This window comes from Homo sapiens, chromosome 15 (genome assembly GCF_000001405.40).
Source record: "Homo sapiens chromosome 15, GRCh38.p14 Primary Assembly".
Taxonomy (NCBI): domain Eukaryota; kingdom Metazoa; phylum Chordata; class Mammalia; order Primates; family Hominidae; genus Homo; species Homo sapiens.
The window spans coordinates 32,389,421-32,410,200 of NC_000015.10; the positions used below are offsets into that span (position 1 = coordinate 32,389,421).

The 20,780-nt window shown below is 46.0% G+C and overlaps 1 protein-coding gene, 2 long non-coding RNA genes and 2 pseudogenes across 4 annotated transcripts in view, besides 1 other annotated feature; 2 read left to right on the forward strand and 3 right to left on the reverse strand.

Annotated features, from left to right (window-relative positions):
- Positions 1 to 178: 178 nt before the first annotated feature.
- On the reverse strand, positions 179 to 13,872 carry GOLGA8K (golgin A8 family member K). Its single transcript, NM_001282493.2, has 19 exons — positions 13,727 to 13,872; positions 11,936 to 12,055; positions 10,982 to 11,041; positions 10,720 to 10,800; positions 9,828 to 9,866; positions 9,518 to 9,565; positions 9,345 to 9,429; positions 9,140 to 9,249; positions 7,997 to 8,083; positions 7,783 to 7,890; positions 7,500 to 7,587; positions 6,867 to 7,123; positions 6,543 to 6,611; positions 5,245 to 5,320; positions 4,725 to 4,813; positions 4,053 to 4,150; positions 3,873 to 3,970; positions 3,622 to 3,777; positions 179 to 3,537 (listed from the first exon to the last, which is right to left on the reverse strand). Exons 1-19 carry the CDS (start codon positions 13,772 to 13,774, stop codon positions 3,362 to 3,364), a joined length of 1,893 nt encoding a protein of 630 aa, NP_001269422.1. The 5' UTR covers positions 13,775 to 13,872; the 3' UTR covers positions 179 to 3,361.
- LOC107987221 (uncharacterized) lies at positions 3,430 to 6,008 on the forward strand. Its single transcript, XR_001751471.2, has 3 exons — positions 3,430 to 3,515; positions 4,133 to 4,229; positions 5,980 to 6,008. It is a non-coding gene; the product is annotated as an uncharacterized LOC107987221 (long non-coding RNA).
- Positions 4,945 to 5,193, reverse strand: RN7SL185P (RNA, 7SL, cytoplasmic 185, pseudogene; annotated as a pseudogene).
- LOC124903457 (uncharacterized) lies at positions 6,610 to 11,540 on the forward strand. Its single transcript, XR_007064571.1, has 2 exons — positions 6,610 to 6,706; positions 9,572 to 11,540. It is a non-coding gene; the product is annotated as an uncharacterized LOC124903457 (long non-coding RNA).
- Positions 13,873 to 17,190: 3,318 nt separating the features above from the next.
- ULK4P1 (ULK4 pseudogene 1) overlaps positions 17,191 to 20,780 on the reverse strand; it is a 28,439-nt pseudogene continuing 24,849 nt past the window's right edge. The window contains exon 5 of the transcript NR_026858.1: positions 17,191 to 17,797. The product of NR_026858.1 is annotated as a ULK4 pseudogene 1 (transcript). The remainder of the gene's footprint in view (positions 17,798 to 20,780) is intronic.
- Positions 20,610 to 20,780: part of a non allelic homologous recombination region, noted in NCBI's record as "15q13.2-13.3 gamma inversion distal recombination region, recombines with the 15q13.2-13.3 gamma inversion proximal recombination region", that runs on past the window's edge. NCBI's record gives the evidence for it as "EXISTENCE:nucleotide sequencing assay evidence [ECO:0000219][PMID:25326701]".

A 20,780-nucleotide genomic window follows, 5' to 3' on the forward strand; every position in this document is an offset into this window, starting at 1 on the left:
AACTTTTAAAATCTTGTGTTCTTTTAAGAAACACTTGCATAGTTATATCACAACTTTGTAAAAATGAAACACATTATCTCATGCCAAGCATGCCCAGCATTTGCACAGTATCAATACCTTTAATACTATAGTTTTCAAGAAACGCAAAATAAAATTTTAAGACAAAAACAACACATTGAAACAACTTAATAATTTATTACATTACAGTGGCATCACACCAGCAGTCAATAAGGCCACTCTAGGGAAAAATCTTTCAGTATTTCCACGACACATTCTCTTTACAATAATTCATAAACTGGTAAAATTCATTCTAAGAAAACTTGGCAAATAAAACTTTGGACTGGAATTGGCATTTCTTTCTCTGCTTTTCGTTCCCACCATTTCTTTCTTTTATACTACAGTATTCATATTTTAAAATGTTTTAAATTATTTCAGAACATTAAGATAGCAGTTACATTTTTTAATAGTTATATTATTTTAAAATGACTAAGATAAAGTTTTAGAGAAACTATATTATGGATAGGGCTGATTTACATTTTCAAATTTTCTAAAATCAGCTTTGGTTTTAGAGCTGATTTTTTTTTTCATTTCTGGAAAATTATCAGGTTGAATCAAATACTTTTAAAATGATTATTATATATTGCCATCTTTAAATAGGTGTTTTGATTCTTCCTACAGACATTAAAATGTATTCAGTGGAACTCACAGTTTAAAATTCTATGTTTCTGATGAACTCTAACATTCCAATGTTGCCTTCTAAGCAAACTGAAAGCTGCCTTATACTGAATGAGGAAGAGCACAAATACTCGGCTGAATGAGGTATCACAAAAGACTGCATGCACTTTGGAGAAAGACTTAAGTTATTGTCATACAATTTCCATTCTTTTTAGCGTTTTCTTAAGTATATGACAAATGCCTACACAAAGAGTGGTATTTCAGTCAATATAGTAAATTTATTTTCCAGACTGACCTTCAGCTTAAATATGCCAGTGTGTGATTTAATCCATAGGCACCTCATGAACACATTATTGTCAGATTGGTTACAGATGCTAAACGCTATCCGAAGGTCATTCCTAGTCACTGATATTTATCAGGGTAAAAGTGAAGTGATTTCAACGATAAAAGTACCTTTGCAATAATTTATCAATGTATTAGATAAACCCAGTTTCAGAATGATAAAAGAAAAAACGTTAGACCAAATAATGTGGCTGATTAACAGTGGTCCGATTTCTAGCCCGAGGGTTTAAAATGCTCTTAAAGTAACTGTCTTTAAACTGAACTCAAAGAATGCAAAAGCGGCAAGTTCAGAAAATAAAAGGCGAGAACAGGACTTTAAGTGCATTTTAAACCCACGGGCTACAAATCGTACCACTGTTAATTAGCCGCATTATTTGGTCTAAGATTTTTTCTTTATCATTCTGAAACTGGGTTTATCTAATACATTGATACATTCATAAAATTTGGAAGAGTCAGTGGAAGTCACAAGGACCGAATATTTGCACTCTTTCAGTGAATGCCAGCAAATCTGTTATTCCATCGGTAAAATCGTATTGTTGCTCTCCTGTTAATGTCATATTTATAGAAGTATCATGAGGATGCCAAATGCTAAAAATGGAGATGATCTAGTAACTAGAAATCCCCACCGCAGGGAGCACACACACCTATCTCCCTGCATCCTAACAATGTGATGTGTTTTGGAACACAGACATTAGAACTTCATGAAGTTTTAACTGTTGAGTCTTTCCCAAGCATCATCAAGTTACGATTTAGGCAATATATAACTGAAATGTATTCATTCATCATGCATAGGCACAATCACATAAATATCGCACAAAATATGTCCCGAACAGAAACCCAGAGGTACAAAAACATATTTCACTTTGTAAAGAAGTCTGTGAGAAAATATAACTCTGTGATTGTATAGACACGTTTCCTGATAATACATTGACATTCATGAACAGTAGATTGCACTGCAGTTTGTACACATTTTAAGTTTCATAAACTTCTCCTTGATTTTCAAAGAGAGTACAATACCGTCTACTAAAACTCCTTTTTGTTTCAACTAAGTATCTCACATATATTAGTTTATAATAATGTTTCTATTATTTTTTAAAGTGTTTTCCATTCAAGGAAAAAGAAGTAAATTCCTATGTCAGAGTAACCAAGGTGGTTGAAGAATAGGTATTAGCCAAAGAGGTCTAGATGGTAAAATCAATCTTCAAGCCTCAAAGAATCTCCGTGAACAGAGAGGAATGCCAGGTGTCACACAGCTTTCCTTCACTCTAATTCATTCTTGACTAGAGCCTGTATGCCTGTTCCAGGGACGTTTGAACTCATAAAGGATTTCTTATGATCTTCACTAAATACATTAAGAAGAATGCCAACCAGTGCCCTTTTGTGTACTGGGACATGTAGTCATGTGATTAAAACAGGTAACATGAACTCTGACTTTAAAATGTATTGTAGATACAAATGCTCTAAGCTAGGAAAGGTTTTCCACATCCACAGTCAACGATGGGAACCTTTCATTCCTCAGAAATAAGCCCTTTTTAGGTCATCGAAAAAGAGTACAACTGCTGCAGCTCATGATGCAATATCTTCATGAGCCCAGAGCACATACAAATCCTAAGGGAACCACCATAATACACCGCTAATTCCTGGCACCGGAACAGATGAAACACACTCTATCCTGCACATACCTGCCAGAGGAGGCCACTTTCCTCTTCTGTGAGATTTAAAAAGCTCCCCCAAAAGGTTATCACTCCCATCACCAATACACAGAAAATGGAGGAAAGGCTGTTTCCAGTTCTTGGCCTTTAAACAACTCTAAATGTCAGTACTCATAGTGGCGTATTACAAAGTAATAAACAGTGCACACTTGGGGGCAAACTACATATTGAGCTAAGGAAGAGCTCACTGTGATTAAGATTAGATCAAACAACAGCAGAACATAGGCAAATTTTGTCTGAATTCTGTAGTGAATATACATGCTGCAATAACATTAAAAAAGCATGGCAGCCTATTCCAAACCAAAGAGAACAGTTTTGGGCAAAGAGTGGGTCTTTGTGTGTTTGAACTCCCACCACGTAAGGGCAAACTCGATATGCACGCTAATGACCTACAATTATGAAATTAAAAAAGAAAAATGCTAAAGGATGCCAGAGTGAACATCAGTGAGAGCCACAGACACCCACTCTCTTTTAACTTTTTACAAATAAACTTAAACTATAAATTAGAAACACAAATAATCATGAGTGAGTCTAACATTCAAAGGAAGTAAATGAATTGTGTAGGAGATTAACCCCATAACTTGGTTTCTTATTTAAAAATTTCTTGAGCAGCTGTTTGATGATGGTGATGTTTATCTCCTTCTTCTTGGCAGCCAAGCCCAACAAAATAATGGCACACAGCAGTTGCTGCCCAAGCCTGGGTGCTCCTTGTGGTCCTGCACGATCGGCTGTGCAGTAGGCTTGTCAAGGAGAGGATCCTCCCTGGCCTCTCCTTGGGCAGAGGAGGTGAGGCTCACCTCACGAAGATCTTTGGAGAGAGGGAGGCAGGGATCTGAGCACAGTGGGAGCCCCCTCTTCCTGCCTGCCCACCCCACCTGAGGGCTCTACTCACCACCATGCTTGTCTGCAGCCCCAAGCTCCTGGGGAGCTGGGGCTCCTGGACCGGGCTCATCAGCAGGGTTGTGGGCAGCGGCCAGGAATTTTCTGTGCCCATTGTTGTAGTTGCTGTAAGCCGCAATACCATCTGCTGCAGCTCCAGCAGCTTCACCTGGAGGGAGGGGTGCTCAGCTGCCATGCCGCTGCCTGCGCCCACCCTCACACCCACCCCCACCCCCACCCCCACAGAGATGTTGCACACCCTACCTTCATCTCCTCCCTGAGCTCCAGCCTGATGGTGTCCTCCTCCCAGTGCCGCATCTTTGGCACAGCCCCCTGGTTCTGATAAAAGGTGATGGGTTTTCCTGCGGGAGGACAGGGCTCAGACGCTGGGGCCCCTCCGACGGCCCTGTAGCTCCCCCTGCTGTGCCCTGGCCTCCCACTCACTGATGGCGTCTGTCTCGCCAGTGGTGGATGAAGCAGAGTTCTTTTTTCACCAGCTCACTCAGGTCTGCCTTCTCCTTCAGGTGGTCCATAAAGCTGCTCTGGAGCCAAAATATTGCAGTCACATCTCGGCAGCGACCTGCCCTCAGGTGGCATTTTCAAGTCATGGAGAAGGCGGAGGTGAGTCCTGGCATGGGCCAGCTTCTCCGTGACTTCCTGCAGGGCCCAGTGGGTCTCCCCACTCACAGACTCGCCCCCAGGCCCTGGGGCTCCAGGGCCTCTGGCCGCCTCTGGCTCCTTCTGGGCCGAGGCCACCGGGTGAGCCAGGCGCTGGCAGCACACCCTCTGCTCTTTCACCTGCTCTTGTAACTGTGCCTGCTTCTCCTGGGCACTAGCTCCAGCGGACTTGAAAAATGCCACCTGAGGGCAAGATGTGAGCATTCTTCTAGGGGCATACACAGAAGAAATGGGGCAGAGAGGTGGAGCGCAGCCCCTTCCCTTGGGGCCTCAGAGAGTGCACCTGTTGGCCACAGGTGAAATGGTGTCTGACCACTGGCTCTCGGAAGGGGTGAGGGTCCAGAGAAATCAGAAGGCAGGGAAACGAAGAGCATAAAGGGGTCTTGGAGGGACCACAGAGAAAGGTGGCAAAATGGGTGCAGGGGGAGTCAGGCTCACCATGGCCTCCCTGCTCTCCAGGTCCTCTGGGACACTCGGCATGGGCTGAGGTGCCTCCTCCCCCTCACTGTCCAGATGTTCTCCGTGTCCTGTGGGGGGTGGCCAGAGGGGTCTTCAGACAACCCAACAAGGGAGGTACTGTGGGCCCACCTCTACCTCCACCCTCACTGTGTAACCCTGAGCCAGCCCCTCCCCAGAGAGGAATGAGCTGTTGTTCTTTATTTTTACTTTTAAGAATCAAGAGCTTGCTATTCCGCCCAGGCACACTCCCACTACTGGTCGATGTGGGAGTTCTGACCTGCTCCCTTTCTGACCTTGGCCAGTTCAGCCATCCTTAGGCAACTTGGTGACCCCCCGCTCACAGGAGGTCACCACACTGATGCCGAACTTAGTGCAGGCACCCGGTCGGCATAATGACCAGCTGTTCTAAAGGTCTCTTCCAACTCCTCAATCCTATGCTGCTAGCAGTCCCCCCTTCCTCCTGGGGCTCTCTCCTCTTCCTCTGAGCAGTCTCCCGTACCTTCCCCAGGGAGAGCCATGAGGCTCAGCTGGGCCGTTAGCTGCTGGTTCTGCTGGCTGGCCGCTTCCAGGTGCTCCTGAGGGGCCAGGACAGAGTGAGAAGGGGTGGAGTTTGCCAGGTCATCCCCCTCACAGCCCCATCCTCGGCAGCTCCCTCCCCTGGGTCTCCTGCAACTTTTGGCAGGCCATCTCAGCCACCGCTTTGCCCCAAGCTTCCTGCTGCTGCAGCTGGTTCATTAGCTGGGTCTGCTGCAGTCACTGCCTGTACAGCGCCTCCTTCTCACAGGTCAGCTGCTGATAGGTGGCCACGTACTGCTGCAGGTGACCCAGGTAATGGTCTGGCTGCTGCTGCAGACTCTGAGCCTCTTGGCTCTTCAGCTCCACCTGCAGGAAGACCCTGGGTGTGAGGGCATGTGGTGGCTGGTTTCCAGATTCTGGGCCCATTAATAGGGTAGCGAGGGCACTGTGGGGCTCTGTCAGCTGCCCAGGCCCCTGTCCCCTTACTCCAGGCCTAAGTGACTGCCTCCCTTTCCTAGAACCCCATGCCTCCTTCCCCAGCCTCAAATCTCATACCCTCTTCTCATTTAATCCTCAGCACCTCTGTAAGGAAAATGCTAACTTCCCTTTGAAGTTAAAGAAACAGAGACTTAGAGATGCAAAGTACTTGAATGGTGACCAGTGGAACCGAGGCTGGAATCCAGTTTTAATCTAAGGAGTCTTTTTGTTTTGTTTTCAGACAAGAGTGTCACTCTGTGGCCCAGGCTGGAGTGCAGTGGTGCAATCTCAGCTCACTGCAACCTCCACCTCCTGGGTTGAAGCAATTCTCGTGCCTCAGCCTCCCGAGTAGGTGGAATTACAGGCATGCGCCACAATGTCCTGCTAATTTTTTTTTTTTTTTTGTAATTTTAGTAGAGATGAGGTTTTACCACATTGGCCAGGCTGATCCCAAACTCCCGACCTCAAGTGATTCTCCTGCCTCAGCCTCCCAAAGTGCTGGGATTATAGGCATGAGCCACTGCACCTGGCATAAGGAGCCTGTTATACCACTGTCTCTTCCCCTGTGATTGGGGGCTCCATGCCTCTAGCTAGGATGATGATGTCCAGACCTGAGAGGAGCCCAGGGCTACCCACCTTTAAAAGTCAGAGGCAGGAAGCAAGAAACAGGACTGCCCTGGGGGGTGCTGTGGTCACCAGCCCCCAGGCTGGAAGCTGCCTCTGACCTGGCACCTCCCCTCCCAAGAGGCTGCTGCCCGCCTCCCAGCCCTTCTTGGATGGGGTGGAGGTTTCCGTCTCCTTCACCTCGCCAAGCTTCTCCTGTAGCTCCTTTACTTGCTGCTCCAACTGCAGTGCGTTCTTGTTCTCATTGTTCTGGACAGAGAGAAGCAATCAGCAGCCACCCACTGCAGCTGGAGACCCCAGAACTTGGTGTCTGCCTCCCATGGCACTGGGAAGGCTGGAGGCAGGTTAGAAAAATCACTCCCTCTCTCCCACAGCCACCTGGCTCACAGGTGCCTTTAGAAGTAACATTTCATGTGAGGGCTACACTGCCCCATTTTAGAGGTGGGGAAACAAAGGCCCGGAGGGCTAGGGAGGAGGGCAAGCTCCCCAGTTTGGGCAACGCACCGGCTCCTCGAAGACGCTCTGTGGCTTGGCCAGCTGCTGAAGGCTCTTGTGCTGCTCCTGAATCCTCTCCTCCTGCTTCCGAAGCCTCTCTTCCTGCTCCTGAATCCTCTCTTCTTGTCGCTGGTTCAGGAGACTTATGCGCTGATTCTTTTTGACCTGGGCCTGGAGCTCTCCTGCCACTCTCTCTAGTTCCTTCCTCAGGTGCTGCAGCTCCACCTCAGAGGGCACTGCTGGGGGCTCCGGGGGCAAGGGTTCAGCTGAGAAAGGAAGCAGATAATAAGGGCCTCTGGATTCTCGGAAAAGAAAAACCCTCCTCTTGGCGCACAGCTCCTCTCAGGCTCCTCAAACTTGGCCTCACTGCTAATGATTCCTCGCACCCAGATGGTAGCCAGTCTTCCAAAGCACTTTCAGAGAAAGAGCACTGCGGGTGGCTGGCAACGGGCCCTCTTTGCTGATGGGGACACTGAGACACTGAGACTCATTGAGATGACAAGACTCGCCGTCTCCTGGCACAGATCTCTTTCCCTCTGCCTCAAAGCCCTTCCATCCACTCACCTCCCTGGGGCACTCTAAGCCACCCTCACAGCCCTCTGATGCCAGTCCTGCTCCCAGGTCATGCCAGCCCCATCTTACCCATCTGGTTTTTGAGTTTGGACAAGCTCCTCTCCAGCTTCTCTACCCGACGCATATCTTGCTGCTTCTCTTTCTTTAATGTGCAAATCTGCCCAAAGCACAAGGGGAAAGGGCCTTGGAGAGAGGGGCTGGAGGCTGGACAGGCTGCCCTCTCCCTCTCTGCCCCCACCTCCACAAAGCCCAGACCCATGACCACCTCTGGCTCTACTATTCCCATTTTACAGATGACCAGAAAGATCCAGTGACCTATCTAATGTGGGGGGGCTGAAGGGTCAGATCTCACCTCCTGCGACATTTTTCTCATCCTCTGCTGCCACCGGGCCCTCTCTCCTTTTAGATGTTCAGAATACTCATCTCTTTCTAATTGGACTTGTTGAAAAGACTCCTTCAACTGCAAGAATGGGCACAGAACTTAGGAAGGGCTGTCACTGGTCCTCACCTGCTCCTGGCCACCTGGGGTCATCTTCCTTCCACATAACTCCCTCAGAAAACCTCACCTGTGTCAGCTGCACTTTCAGTAGTGCCTCCTCCCGCATGGACTGCTCTAACTTCCACTCCGTACGTGCTTTGCTGCGGCTGGACAACTGGATGGTGAAGAGTGAGAAGTTTCAATCTGGAGAGCCTGGGCATTTCCACACAGTGCCCCTTAACAGGGCTAGGGCTAGGCCCAATATACAACTCGGTCAGTAAAGATCAAGGCATTTCCCAGCCCGTGGTCTGGTTTTTAAAAGAACACAGTAAAGTTGGAACGGACAGGGAATGAGACTGAGTTTATAGCTGGCTAACAGAGGCCCAGAGAGATCAGATAATATTGCTGTTGTTATTATTGTCATTATTACCACTGTTTGAACCTTTGTGGAATGCTTCACCAGGTACCGTGCTAACAATCCCATTTAATCCTCGCAACCACCATAGGAGACAGTTACTATGATTCCCTCTATTGTGGAGATGAAAAAACATGGAGTATTTGAGGTTAAGTGCTTGCCTAAGTTCACTTAGGCAGAGCTGGGATATAAACACCCAGGTCTATCCAATTCTCTAAGCCCATTTTTCTTGCTGGGGATGGGGGCACAGATAGGAAGGGGAAAATTAATCTTTTGTTCACTTTTTGAAAGGATGATACATTCACATAGTCCAAAACTCAGAAGGTACAGAAGGGAAGTATCTCCCAGCCATCTTGTTCTCTCTCCTGAATTTTTTATGAACCCTTGCAGACATGTTTTATGTATATTATCACAGTATGTACACACACACACACACACACACACACACATGCACGCGTTTCCTCTTTCTACAGAAATGGTAACATACTAAAGGTACTCTTCTGTACCTTCACAGTACAAGTACCCAATACCCCACCTAGGACTAGGACTTGCCCAAGACCACAGACAGGTAAGGGCGGGGCAGGCACTTGGCCTCCAAGCTCTGCGTCCAGTGCTCACTCCACACAGTGACCCCCAACTCACCCACAGCAGCTGACTCAGCCCCAGGCTGCCACTAAAAACCATACAAAAAAGTAGCAAGAAATGGCCATGCTGCCTTCTGGGCAGGACACTCCATCCTGCAGAAGGGACCTTTAGGCTCACTCCTCCATCTGCAAAGCCAGGCTCCCAGGGGATGGGGCAGGTGGTTGGACTCACCTGGTTTGCCTTCTTCTTCTGTGTGGCCATGACATTAGAGAGAACACTCTCTAACTCTCCTTTACGCTGCAATGAATGTTGCAGGCGGACAGCCAGATCCTTGGACTTTTCTGTAATGAGAGAGTTGAGATGGGGCCCAAAGGACTCCCCCTGAAGACCTGTCAAAGTGCCAGGTTGAAGGATGACAGGGTGCCCAGATTCCCACCTTCAAAGTATCTGAGAGAACGTTTCATGTGGTACAGGTCCGTATTTAGTTCCTCTTTCTGTATGTTCAATGTCTGGATTTGAACCTTTGGGAGAAAAGCCAAGGAAGTGCTGAAAGAGAAGGAAAGAAACCTTCTCCGGAGGACAGGAGGAAACTGCACACCCTCCACTCACCTCTAGCACCCTTTTGGCTTTCTGTTTCTTGTTGTTTGCTTTCTTTTCCTGTAGGAAGAGGAAGACAGAGCTCTTACCAGGGGGAGGCAGAGATGGCACAGCAAGAGACATGCCCCCAGAATGCCACCAATGCCCCAGGACAGGCCCACCCATGGGACCAGGTTATCAGGGGCCCTGTGGGGATGGGGTGGAATCTGAAGGGTGAGCCTTCATCCCCAGGCTGGGAGTGGGTGAGACGAGACTGGGGCCTGTATGTCTGAGTGCCCCCCAAACCCAGCAGTCATGTTGCGAGGAAACGAAATCACGTTACTTCTTCCAGCTGATGTTCCACTTGTTTCTTCTGTTGTTTCTGTGGGGAGAGTCAAATAAGGTGATGGAGGGTGGCCCCCTCAACTCTATTCCCCAGACCAGGAAGCGGTAGGCAGGGGCCAGGAATGGATTTTAAAGGCAAAGTTCTCAGACATAATGGGAACACGAACCGGTAAACTCTCCTCAAGCTCCCAAGGACAGAGGATTTGGGTCTTTGTTGGCTTTTGCCCACAGCCACAGAACTCAAAGTCTGAATCTGGAATCTCTTGAGAGGACAGCAATATAAACCTCTAGAGATGGAGTTTCAGAAAGGCCCCTCCTTCTGGCAGCTTGTGATTTAGAGAAGTGGGTTCATTCAATAAACATTTACTGAGCATGTATGGGCCAGGTACGGTTCTTTACAGCAGATATAGGATGGAAAAGGACAGACAGGAGCCCTTAGCCCTGAGGTTTCCGTTCTAGGGGGCCTTTAAATCTCAGACTCGAGAGCTAACAGAGACCTTTGATACTCACTACCTCCTCTGGAAACACGAGCCCAAAAAGGAGAGGTGGCTTGTCCAGAATCAAAGAGCAAATTAGGGACTGAGTCATGGCAGAAATACGGGGCCCTTGACAACCAGTCAGGCTAGCACTTCCCCAAGAGGCAACAACCCCAGGGCGTGTGTAGCAAGGACTCGAGCAGGGGTGTCTGGAGAGGAGAGAGTCGGCAAAGAGGGCAGCAAAAGAAGAGCCATGCTGCATGCTCTGGGGTCCCTCCAGGTGAGGCCTGGGCACCCAAGCTCCCTATTTGTCCCAGGCACCAGGGACCCCCAGCCCCTTTCTTCAGGGCCCCAAGGGGAAACTGGAGCCCAGGATTGGCAGCGTGGAATCAGGGGACCCCAGTGGACTCTTACCAGAGATTTGATGGTGTTCTTCAGTTGACTGATTTCTACGGACCTTGAATCCAGGACTACTGCTCGTTCTTGGCACGGGCTCTGAGGTGCATGCAGAGAGGAGGAGGTGGAGCAGGAGTGGGGGGAGAGGTAGAGAGAACAATCATTAGGGCTGGGGTGTGTAGGCTGTCTCAGCTGGCAGAGGGGCACCCAGTCCCACCTGGAGGAGGAGGTTGGAGGGTTGACCCGAAGGGTCACTGCACCTCCGCCCAGAGCCTCTTACCTCCAGATCTTTCAGGGTAGCAGATGATGTAGGGCCTTCCCTGTGGAAACCTGTTGCTGACTACAAGAGATGAGAGTGCACATGGAGATGTTCTGTCCCCCACAGTGTCTGAGCCCTCTGACTTCCTTTCTTCCCCATCAACTGGCAACATTTTCTTTTCTGCCTATCTTGGACCTTTTGTCCCATAACTCCTTTGTGCCAACTTCTCTCATGGTTCTTATCTCCCCACCATCCCATCCTGGGGCCCCTTCAGTGACTCCTGATGGCAAGTGGCTGTTCTCATTGTCCTGGTTTCCCCCTGAGACTGGGGATGAGGAAAATCAAACCATATCCTGGGTGTCCTGAGTGTTTACAGCAGGCCATGTACTAGGGATTAACATAAAAACAACAATAACAAATCTCATTTAAACTTCACAAATGGAAGTGAAACAATAACACCTCTATTATACAGATGTGAAAAGAGAGGCCCGATGAGGTCTAGCAACTTGCCCTAAATCATATCCCTAGCAGAGCAGATGGAGAGGCAGGATTCAAACCCAGAATTCCTTTTTTTTTTTTTTTCTTTGAGACAGAGTCTTGCTCTGTCACCAGGCTGGAGTGCAGTGGCATAATCTTGGCTACTGCAAGCTCCACCTCCCAGGTTCACACCATTCTCTTGCCTCAGCCTTCTGAGTAGCTGGGACTACAGGCACACGCCACCACGCTTGGCTAATGTTTTGTATTTTTAGTAGAGACAGGGTTTCACCGTGTTAACCAGGATGGTCTCGATCTCCTGACCTCATGATCCGCCTGCCTTGGCCTCCCAAAGTGCTAGGATTACAGGCGTGGGCCACCACACCCGGCTAAAGCCAGAATTCTTAACCAGTACCCAGCAGTCCATCCACAATCTTAAGAATTACCCTCTATTGCCCCTTGGGCCCCCTGTCCCCAGAAGCCTGGTCAGCCAAGACTCACATCCCTAGGTGGCTGGCAACCACCAGAAGTGGCTTTCTCAGGGATACTGCCATTTGTTTTCCTGTTCCTGTTCGCTCCTGCTGGAACTCTAGGGCTGTTTTTCTGCCAATATTCTTTTAACTGTTGGAAAGAAGAGCAGTAATACTCATGAGAACCATCAGCCCCTACAGCCACATCCTCCTTTACAGTTTTTACAAAATACACTTACACACCATCTGATTTAATGACACCAACAACTGTACAAGGTGTTGTCACACTCATTTAGTGACTGAGAAGGATTGATATCATGGCTAGAAAAAAAAAAAAGAAAAAGGCAATACTGGAACTTTGAAACTCAGTCTTCTGACTCCAAGCTCTGAGGTTTTGCCAAGAATCAGCAGCTGCCAGGGACCAAAACCAGAGGCAGAGGTAGAAAAGTAAACATTAAGTAGGCAGGAACTGTATGCCATGTGGTTTAGAGTCATACATCCTCACACGTCTGTTAGTGTGAAGAAGTGCACCAGTACCTCTCAAACTCTTATATCAATGTGTCCTCATGGCAGAAGGCAGCCTTTCTCTTAAATCAGAATTTATCAGAAAGAGGATAACCCAAGCCTCATTTCAGAGAGAGGTCTGGTATACTCTTAGAAACCTATGTGACTGTCATCCCTAAGTACATTCATGTTTTTTCTCTTGATCTCAAGAGAATCAAGGGAAACTGATGCTTCAGAAAGATGTCCCACATTTATCCTGTGGCACTCAAAGTACCCAAGGTTGAGATAATATGAGGAAGATTCAAGGTGTCAAGTTCAGTTTCCCAAGATCTATTCCACAGAAGATGAGCAAATGTCACTTCAGAGACCACTGACTGAAGGAGAGTCTGGTCCCAGAACCATGGAGAATTAGAATATGAGGTGGAGAACTCAGAAAAAAATGTTAAAATCTCTCTGGAAAGTAGAAGCCTGGGAGAAAACCAAACCAAACCCATTCTCTCATTGCCACCCAGAGATACTGTCAACGTTTTGAGTTCATGGGGGAAGTGTAGGCTTTTCCCACCGTCAACATCTGTAAGGGAGTGAGGCAGCCTGGAACCTCTTCCTCCTAGGTCCCATAGTCTCCATTCCCCTTCCAGCTGGAAATTTGTGCTGTGACCAGAGGAACCAGAAACGGGGTGAGAACGCTTAGGGGACTGGGTCGTAAGATCAAAGGCCAGTCTTGCAGTAACGGCAGTTACTAGGTGGACTGTGACATCACAACATTCCACTCCTCCTGGTCGGGGGGAGGGACCATGTCAGCACCATGTCCAAGTCGCTGCTCCACGATGGGGGAGGGAAGCACAGGGTTGGGACCCAGCTCCTTGGAGACGCCAGCACAAAGAACCCAGGGAGGTCGACCTTGAGGCAGCAGGAGGGGAGGGCACAGTCTGCAGCAGGGAGTCCCAGGAGTCACCAGTCCAAAGTCACCCAGGGATGACTGGCGAGGGTGGGGCCTGGCTCCTTGGAGATGAGAGCCCAAAGAGCCCAGGGAGATCAAGCTTGGGGCGGCAGGAGATGAGGGCCCAGTAATGGAGCGGGAAGCCCCAGGACTCACCCACCCAAAGTCACCCTGGGGTGATTGGCGAGGGCAAGGACTGGGCTGCTTGCTGAAGGGGTGGGGCTGACTGACAAAACTTTGGTGGGGGTAGCCCAGAGGCACCGGGGTAGGGGGGACGAGTCCAGTGTGCCTCAGGAGTCGTATAGACTCTGGCAGGGGTCTTGTCATCAGAGGGGATCTGTGGCTGGGTTGAGGGGCTATGACCTAGTGCGTTTTTACCTTTTTCTTGGCTGCAGCCAATTTGTTGTGTTGAGTTTCTTCTGCCATCGCAGGGTGGGGAGGGAGGCAGGGTTGGGGTCACAGCAGCAAAATCTCAATGAGAACCGATCAAGGCCTCCAGTCACCTACCAGGCAGCTGTGTGACTGAGCCAGAGGAGGCGTAACCAGGGCCCCAGTAGAATGCGGAATAGGGGCGTGGCCTTAATGCTCCAAGCCCATTGGTCAATGAGAAAGATGAAAAGGAAAGGGGGCGTGGCCAGAAAGCAGTGTGTCCAGAGGGACCTGTGGCTCACAAGGAAAGCTGCCCATGGCAACCGCTCTCCCCACCCACTCTAAGAGAGGGGAGAGGCCTCCCACTCTGGAAGAGAAGAGGGGCCGGCTTTTGCTTTAAAAGCTTTAAAACTTTAAAAAATATATGTGTGTATACTTTATATATATGTGTGTCCGTGTGTGTGTATCTATGTTTTTCTCCATAGCTGTCTTCATTATCCAGCTTCTATGCAAGGTCTATGATTTTGGCCTATATTCTTCATCTTTGATTACAGTACAAAAATTACCAGTATTACCTTAACTGAGATACAGATCCTATAAAAATGGAAAATGCATAGCATGCTTGATGATTAATGAAGCAGACTATATTATCCAACATTCTAATAAGATAAAATAATCACAATGATTTCTCTTTTTTGGAAAAATGTTTCTTTTATTCTCCTACGTTTTCATTAAGATTTTTTTTTCTTAAACAAGAAACATGTCTAATATCTGTAAAAACACAAAGCTTTTGGGCCGGGTGCAGTGGCTCATGCCTGTAATTCCAGGACTTTGAGAGCCCAAGGTGGGTGGATCATGAGGTCAGGAGATCGAGACCATCCTGGCTAACACGGTGAAATCCCATCTCTACTAAAAATACAAAAAAGGCCGGATGTGGTGGCAGGCAACTGTAGTCTCAGCTACTTGGGAGGCTGAGGCAGGAGAATGACATGAACCCCCGAGGTGGAGCTTGCAGTGAGCCAAGATCATGCCGCTGCACTCCAGCCTGGCTACAGAGCAAGACTCCATCTCAATAAATAAATAAATTAATTAATTAATTAATAAAAATAAAAAATTAATAGTAAGAGCAATGTGAACAAAAGTTGTAATAAAATAATTTAGAAAATACAAACTATTAAAAAATAGATTTTAAAACTTGTGCAACAAAGTCAAACAGCACCCAACGAAAATGTATACCCTTACATGTTTGTTTAAAAAGCAATTTAAATTACATTGATCCACTAAACTGGGAAAAGCAAAACAAACAAAAAGGGGGAAATAATTAAGACATAAGGAAAAAGGAAAAAGAAAAACCACTAGATTTAAAAAATAAAACTGAAGGAGGATTCTTTCAAAAGACTGAGATAATAAAACAGTCAAGCCTCTGATAAGTAATCAAGATAAAGAAAACTTTGAAGAGAAAAGGGCATATAGCCACATGTGAATATGATGCAAAAAGTGAAAACTTTACACATCTTTACAACACCTTAGAAGTATGGATGACATGTTCATTTTTTTTTTTTTTTTTTTTGAGACGGAGTCTTGCTCTGTCACCCACGCTGGAGTGCAGTGGCGTGATCTTGGCTCACTGCAAGCTCCGCCTCCCGGGTTCACAACATTCTCCTGCCTCAACCTCCCGAGTAGCTGGGACTACAGGCGCCCGCCACCACGCCTGGCTAATTTTTTGTATTTTGGCTTAGTAGAGACGGGGTTTCACCATGTTAGTCAGGATGGTCTCGATCTCCTGACCTCGTGATCCACCCGCCTCGGCCTCCCAAAGTGCTGGGATTACAGGCATGAGCCATCGCACCCGGCCAAAGTGTTCATTTTTTTTTTTTTTAAGAACCTACAGTTATGAAAACTAACTGGAAAGAAATGGGTTTTGGGAAAGATTGAGTACATTTTTGTGATGTTCAACATTATTTTTTCTTACAGTTTTAAAAACACAATTGATATTTCTATCAATTTGACTTAAAAAAATTAAGAACTATATTAAAATTTACCAGCAGAGGGGAGTGAAGGAACACAAAGCAACTTTCAGTTTAGGGTAATTTTTGGGCATAAACAGGGCAGCACTGTCCTCAACTCTATTCTTCTTTATTAGCCAGTGAATCCATGTGAGCTCATTAAATGTTATTAACAGCTCAGTCTATAATGGAGGGCAAATAAAGAGACTTGTAGGTCACAAAGGTATTGACTTTTGATCAGAAGTTCCAGGGGGCGAGAAGAATGAACTAACTCCATGCATTCTTTTTTTGTTTTTGTTTTTGTTTTTTTTTGAGACGGAGTCTTCCTCTTTTGCCCAGGCTGGAGTGCGGTGGCTCAATCTCGGCTCACTGCAAGCTCCGCCTCCCAGGTTCAGGCCATTCTCCTGCCTCAGCCTCCCGAGTAGCTGGGACTACAGGCGCCCACCACCACGCCCGGCTAATTTTTTGTATTTTTTAGTAGAGACGCGGTTTCCTCGTGTTAGCCAAGATGGTCTTGATCTCCTGACCTCGTGATCTGTCCGCCTCGGCCTCCCAAAGTGCTGGGATTACAGGCATGAGCCACCGCGTCCGGCTCCATGCATTCTTATGGCCACATTTTTCCAGTTTGAAGTTTTATTTTCTGAGTTTCTTGAAACAATTGTGAAATCAGTTTTATTACACTAAAATCACTGTATTTTCTTATTTTTGGATATCTATTTAAAAATATTCATTTAGAATGACATTCCAGTGAAATACATTTTTAACGGCTGTTCTATGTCACAGGGATAACAATTTGACTTTCACAAACTGTATTTCAGACGTACAAGGTCTTCATTTTGATGAAGAGGGGCTGTGGGAACGTAATCTGATGCCTGTTCAAAATGTACCAGAAGTGCACGCATGTGTATGCAGGCATGAGCGCACACACACACACACACAAAACCCCATTGGGATTCCATTTAGCACACACACACACACACACACACACACACAAACCCCACTGGGATTCCAGTTAGCACGCACACACACACACACAGACACACACACACAGCCCATTGGGATTCCAGTTATTTACCTCGAGATGGATGCTTGCTGATGTTCCAAAACCTCTTTAGGTCTTAAGGCAAAGGGCCTTTTGAATGCAAAAACCCTTACCTAGATGGAATAGACAGCAGCAATCATTGTCAACAACCTGAAATATATATTGAGTAGTTCCCATGCTAGACATTAGAGACATAAAGATGCAGAAGAGGCCATCGCCTTAAGGGAAATAATCCCGTTCAGACAAATGAGAATACATTGTGTAATGAGCTATCTCTTATAGAAAAGATGAAGACCAATCACCAACAGACCAGAATTCCAATATTTCACCAACTTGTAATATTATTCCAACTTCTCCTTCACATTCACTTAATTCTCATAGAGCAGTAACCAGAGTTTTGTGTTCTTTTTCTTTTTCTCTTCTTCTTCTTTTTTTTAAAAAACAAAGTCTTGCTTTGTCGCCCAGGGTGAAGTGCAGTTGTGCGATCTCGACTCACTGCAGCCTCCACCTTTTGGGTTCAAGAGATTCTCATGCCTGAGCCTCTTGAGTAGCTGGGATTACAAGCATCTGCTACCATGCATGGCTAATTTTTGTCTTTTTAGTAGAGACAGGGGGTTTTATCACATTGGTCAGGCTGGTCAGTTTTGTGTTCTTACTAGAGAGTTCTACTCTGTTATGTCAGAGAAGGAAAATGTCTTTTGATTTCATTTCAATGAAATGTCTATTCATTAATTACATCTTCATTGGCATTTCATACAGGATTAAGACTATCTTCTTTGCCTTAATGGTATACTGTGTGCATTGTTCCTTACCCATCGTAGCAGCTTTGAAGGTCTTTTATCCATATTGGTATTTTCCAGTACCAGAAAACCAAGTCTTGAAAGAAGGACTTCATGTCTTATCCATGGACACGCCATGGTTCCAGAATGTGTTGTCAGTTGATAAGATAGGCTTGATTTGTTACTGGTCTTAATGAGGGCTTTAGGTCAGCACACCAGGCAATGTAGGAGTTCTGGGACTGTTAGGGAAGGCCTGATGGAGAAAATGGAATGTTAGCTGGGCTTTAAAGAGAAAGTAGAAATTAGATCACTGGGGGAGGGGGTAATGTAAAAAACATTCCAGGTAAGAGAAAGTGCTTAGCAAGTAAGAAAGCATCCAAAATATTAGAAAGTACCAGGCTGGTGCAGTGGCTCACACCTGTAATCCCAGCACTTTGGGAGGCCAAGGCAAGTGGATCACTTGAAGCCAGGAGTTCAAGACCAGCCTGGCCAATATAGTGAAACCCTGTCTCTACTAAAAATACAAAAGTTAGCGGGGCATGGTGGCATGAACCTGCAGTCCCAGCTACTTGTGGGGCTGGGGCTGAGGCTGAGAATCTCTTGAACCTGGGAAACAGAGGTTGCAGTGAGCCGAGATCACACCACTGCACTACAGCCTGGGCAACAGAGCGAGACTCTGTCTCAAAAAATAAATGAATAAATAAGTAAAATAAAAAATAAAATGCTTACAGGAACTTCAACCACAATTTTTCTTGTTCACTGATAGTAAATCTAATAGAGAATTCAGGATTTATCTTACACTTGAAATTTTGTTACTGATTACTGAAAAATTATCTACAAGCACCCAATTGTGAGTTTTACAGAAACCTGGTCTCAGGAGTTATGAACCAAAGATTCACCAGTGGACTCTGCAGAGTTTTCAGATCCCCTGAAATCATGTGCTAGGTGCTGACTGCATTTTTCTGGAGAGGCTATAATGGTTTTCATTCATCTGATTCCTCTCAAATGGTAAAAATCACCAATGGAATGGAGCCACACATCCTGTAGCAGAAACTTCTAAAAAACCAGGAAAAAGATGAAACATGGTACCATGTACCTGCTCAGCCTCTACAGATCCTGCTTCCGGAAGTTGAAACAAATTCTTAAAACTTGCACAACTTTTTTTCTAGTGCTTGAATGACCTCTAGTGGCTCCTTAAATTATCACAGCCAATTGCTCACAGCAGGAAATAGGTTGATGTAAAAGAAATTCACAGATTTTGCCATTAAAAGTAACGAACTAAAGAACTAAAAGGTGTGGAGAAATAATAAAATTAAGATGGCATCACAAAGGAGCACGTGGCTCAATTTCAAGTTATTATATAAGCTCCCTACTATCCAACCAAATGTAGTTCACAATACAGTGTGTGTAATTCAAAACAGTTCACCAGATAGTTCAGTACACACCATTTTTTAAATGAAATAAGTATGATTTTCCCTAAGGTCTTGCATTTCAAATTAATAAAGCATCAGCAAACACCCATGAAGAGAACAGTACCGGAATCAAAGATACAAGAACCTCGGGAATTAACACCCACCCTTTCCTCTCAGTTGAGGCAGGACCAGGAATACAACGTTGACAAAGTATAACTGGAGTAGCAGAAATACTTTGAGAATACAAACTGGCCACAGAACTCAACCTGAGTGAGCACAAGTAACAAATATGGTCCAGGAACTGCTGGGCCAAACTCTCCAAGTGGGAGTGCAGCAGCCGCAACAGCAAGTACCAGTAGAACAAGGGCAGCACATCACCCAGGGTGACAAGCAGGTCCCAGATTACTTCACATGCCCTCTGCCCAGTCCCTTGAGAATTCCTGCAGCAGCAAAACATACCATCTTCCAGGCACTGCTACAGGGAGTCCCAAGCATACTGATACACTTTCATTCACTTATTTCAAAATATTTGTCAGTATCTAGATATACACAAGACACTGTCTAGGCACGGGGGTGGAGTGTTGAACAAGACAATTCACAATCCCTGTTCCAATGGAGCTTGTAGTCTAGTATGGAAAGAGAAATAAATACATAAAATGCCAGGTGGTGATATATGCTGTGAAAAAGATCAAGTAGAACAAGGGGTTTGGAAATTACAGGGTGCCCATAGTATTCTTTTCTATAAGTTGATCATCTCAATTCAGACTAGCTGTTCTTCAAGCACTCAATAGCCACAGTGGCTGGTGGCTACTATACTGGATAGTGGAACACATCTGAAACTATCATCCATGCCTTTTTAATTCACAATCTTTATCCTCTTTCTTTCTGAATCCTAAGAGAATTCATCCAACTGATCTTCAAATTCACTAACTCAGCTTCCTAAAGTATCCATAATCTACTGCAACTACTGAATCATTTAATTCAACAGTCATATTTTACATATTCAGAGGCTCTTTCTTCACAGCTTCTGAGCAACAAATGCCTGCTCTGACGATGCATGAATATCCTCTAAAATCTTGGGACTTTGTCTTGGACTTTATGTTCTCTCCCATCTTCTACAGCTACTCCATCTCACTGGAGACCTTTTGCTCTGAGCCATCAGAAGGAACCCCCATTTTTAAGATCCTAAGCCTTCTCATCTTCCTGGTAATACTGCCCTATATGCTCAATCTTTTAGATAAAAATCTACTCGACACATCTCTGAGAACCAAGTTGGGTACCATCAGTAATCACACAGGTCACAATTCATTTATTTTAGGCCCCCCAAAAAAGGAAAAAATTAGACTTAGTGGCATTTTACTAGTAGCTCAGAGATCCAACAGTTTGCAGGAAATAGAGATGTAATTGTAAGCAAGGGAAATACAGTGAAATTATATTAATCTCCACCCAGACACTGTAAGGCCAGCTGGTATACTATCCCAGCAATTGGCTACTGCAGTGAATGGCACAGAGAGAAAAGTTTCCAATTCCTCTTGAGGCTCCAAATACCAATTGGCTACTATAGTGGACAACACAGACATAGAAAGTTTTCCAATTCCTCTTAAAGCCCCAAATACCACACAACCAGCTTCAGCTCTACAAAATCCTCTCTCCCTTACCCTTTTTAACCTCCTTCAGGACCTCTTGCTATTTCCCCTAAAAAGCCTTGGTTCTTTTCACCTACACTGACTCTTGAGCCTCTCCCAGTTCAAGGTATAACACTCTATTACCAATAAAGTGTAATATACATTAACAGAATAGGTAGAAAGTAATCTTTCATACGAA

Coding starts and splice junctions, on each gene's coding strand:
- GOLGA8K (NM_001282493.2), bottom strand. CDS start 13,774: ATGGCAGAAGAAACTCAACACAACAAATTGGCTGCAGCCAAGAAAAAG. Junction 7,891..7,996: donor TGAAAGTGCAGCTGACACAG/GTGAGGTTTTCT, acceptor CCATTCTTGCAG/TTGAAGGAGTCTTTTCAACA. Junction 5,321..6,542: donor TACAGGAGAAGCTTGGCGAG/GTGAAGGAGACG, acceptor CTGGCCCCTCAG/GAGCACCTGGAAGCGGCCAG.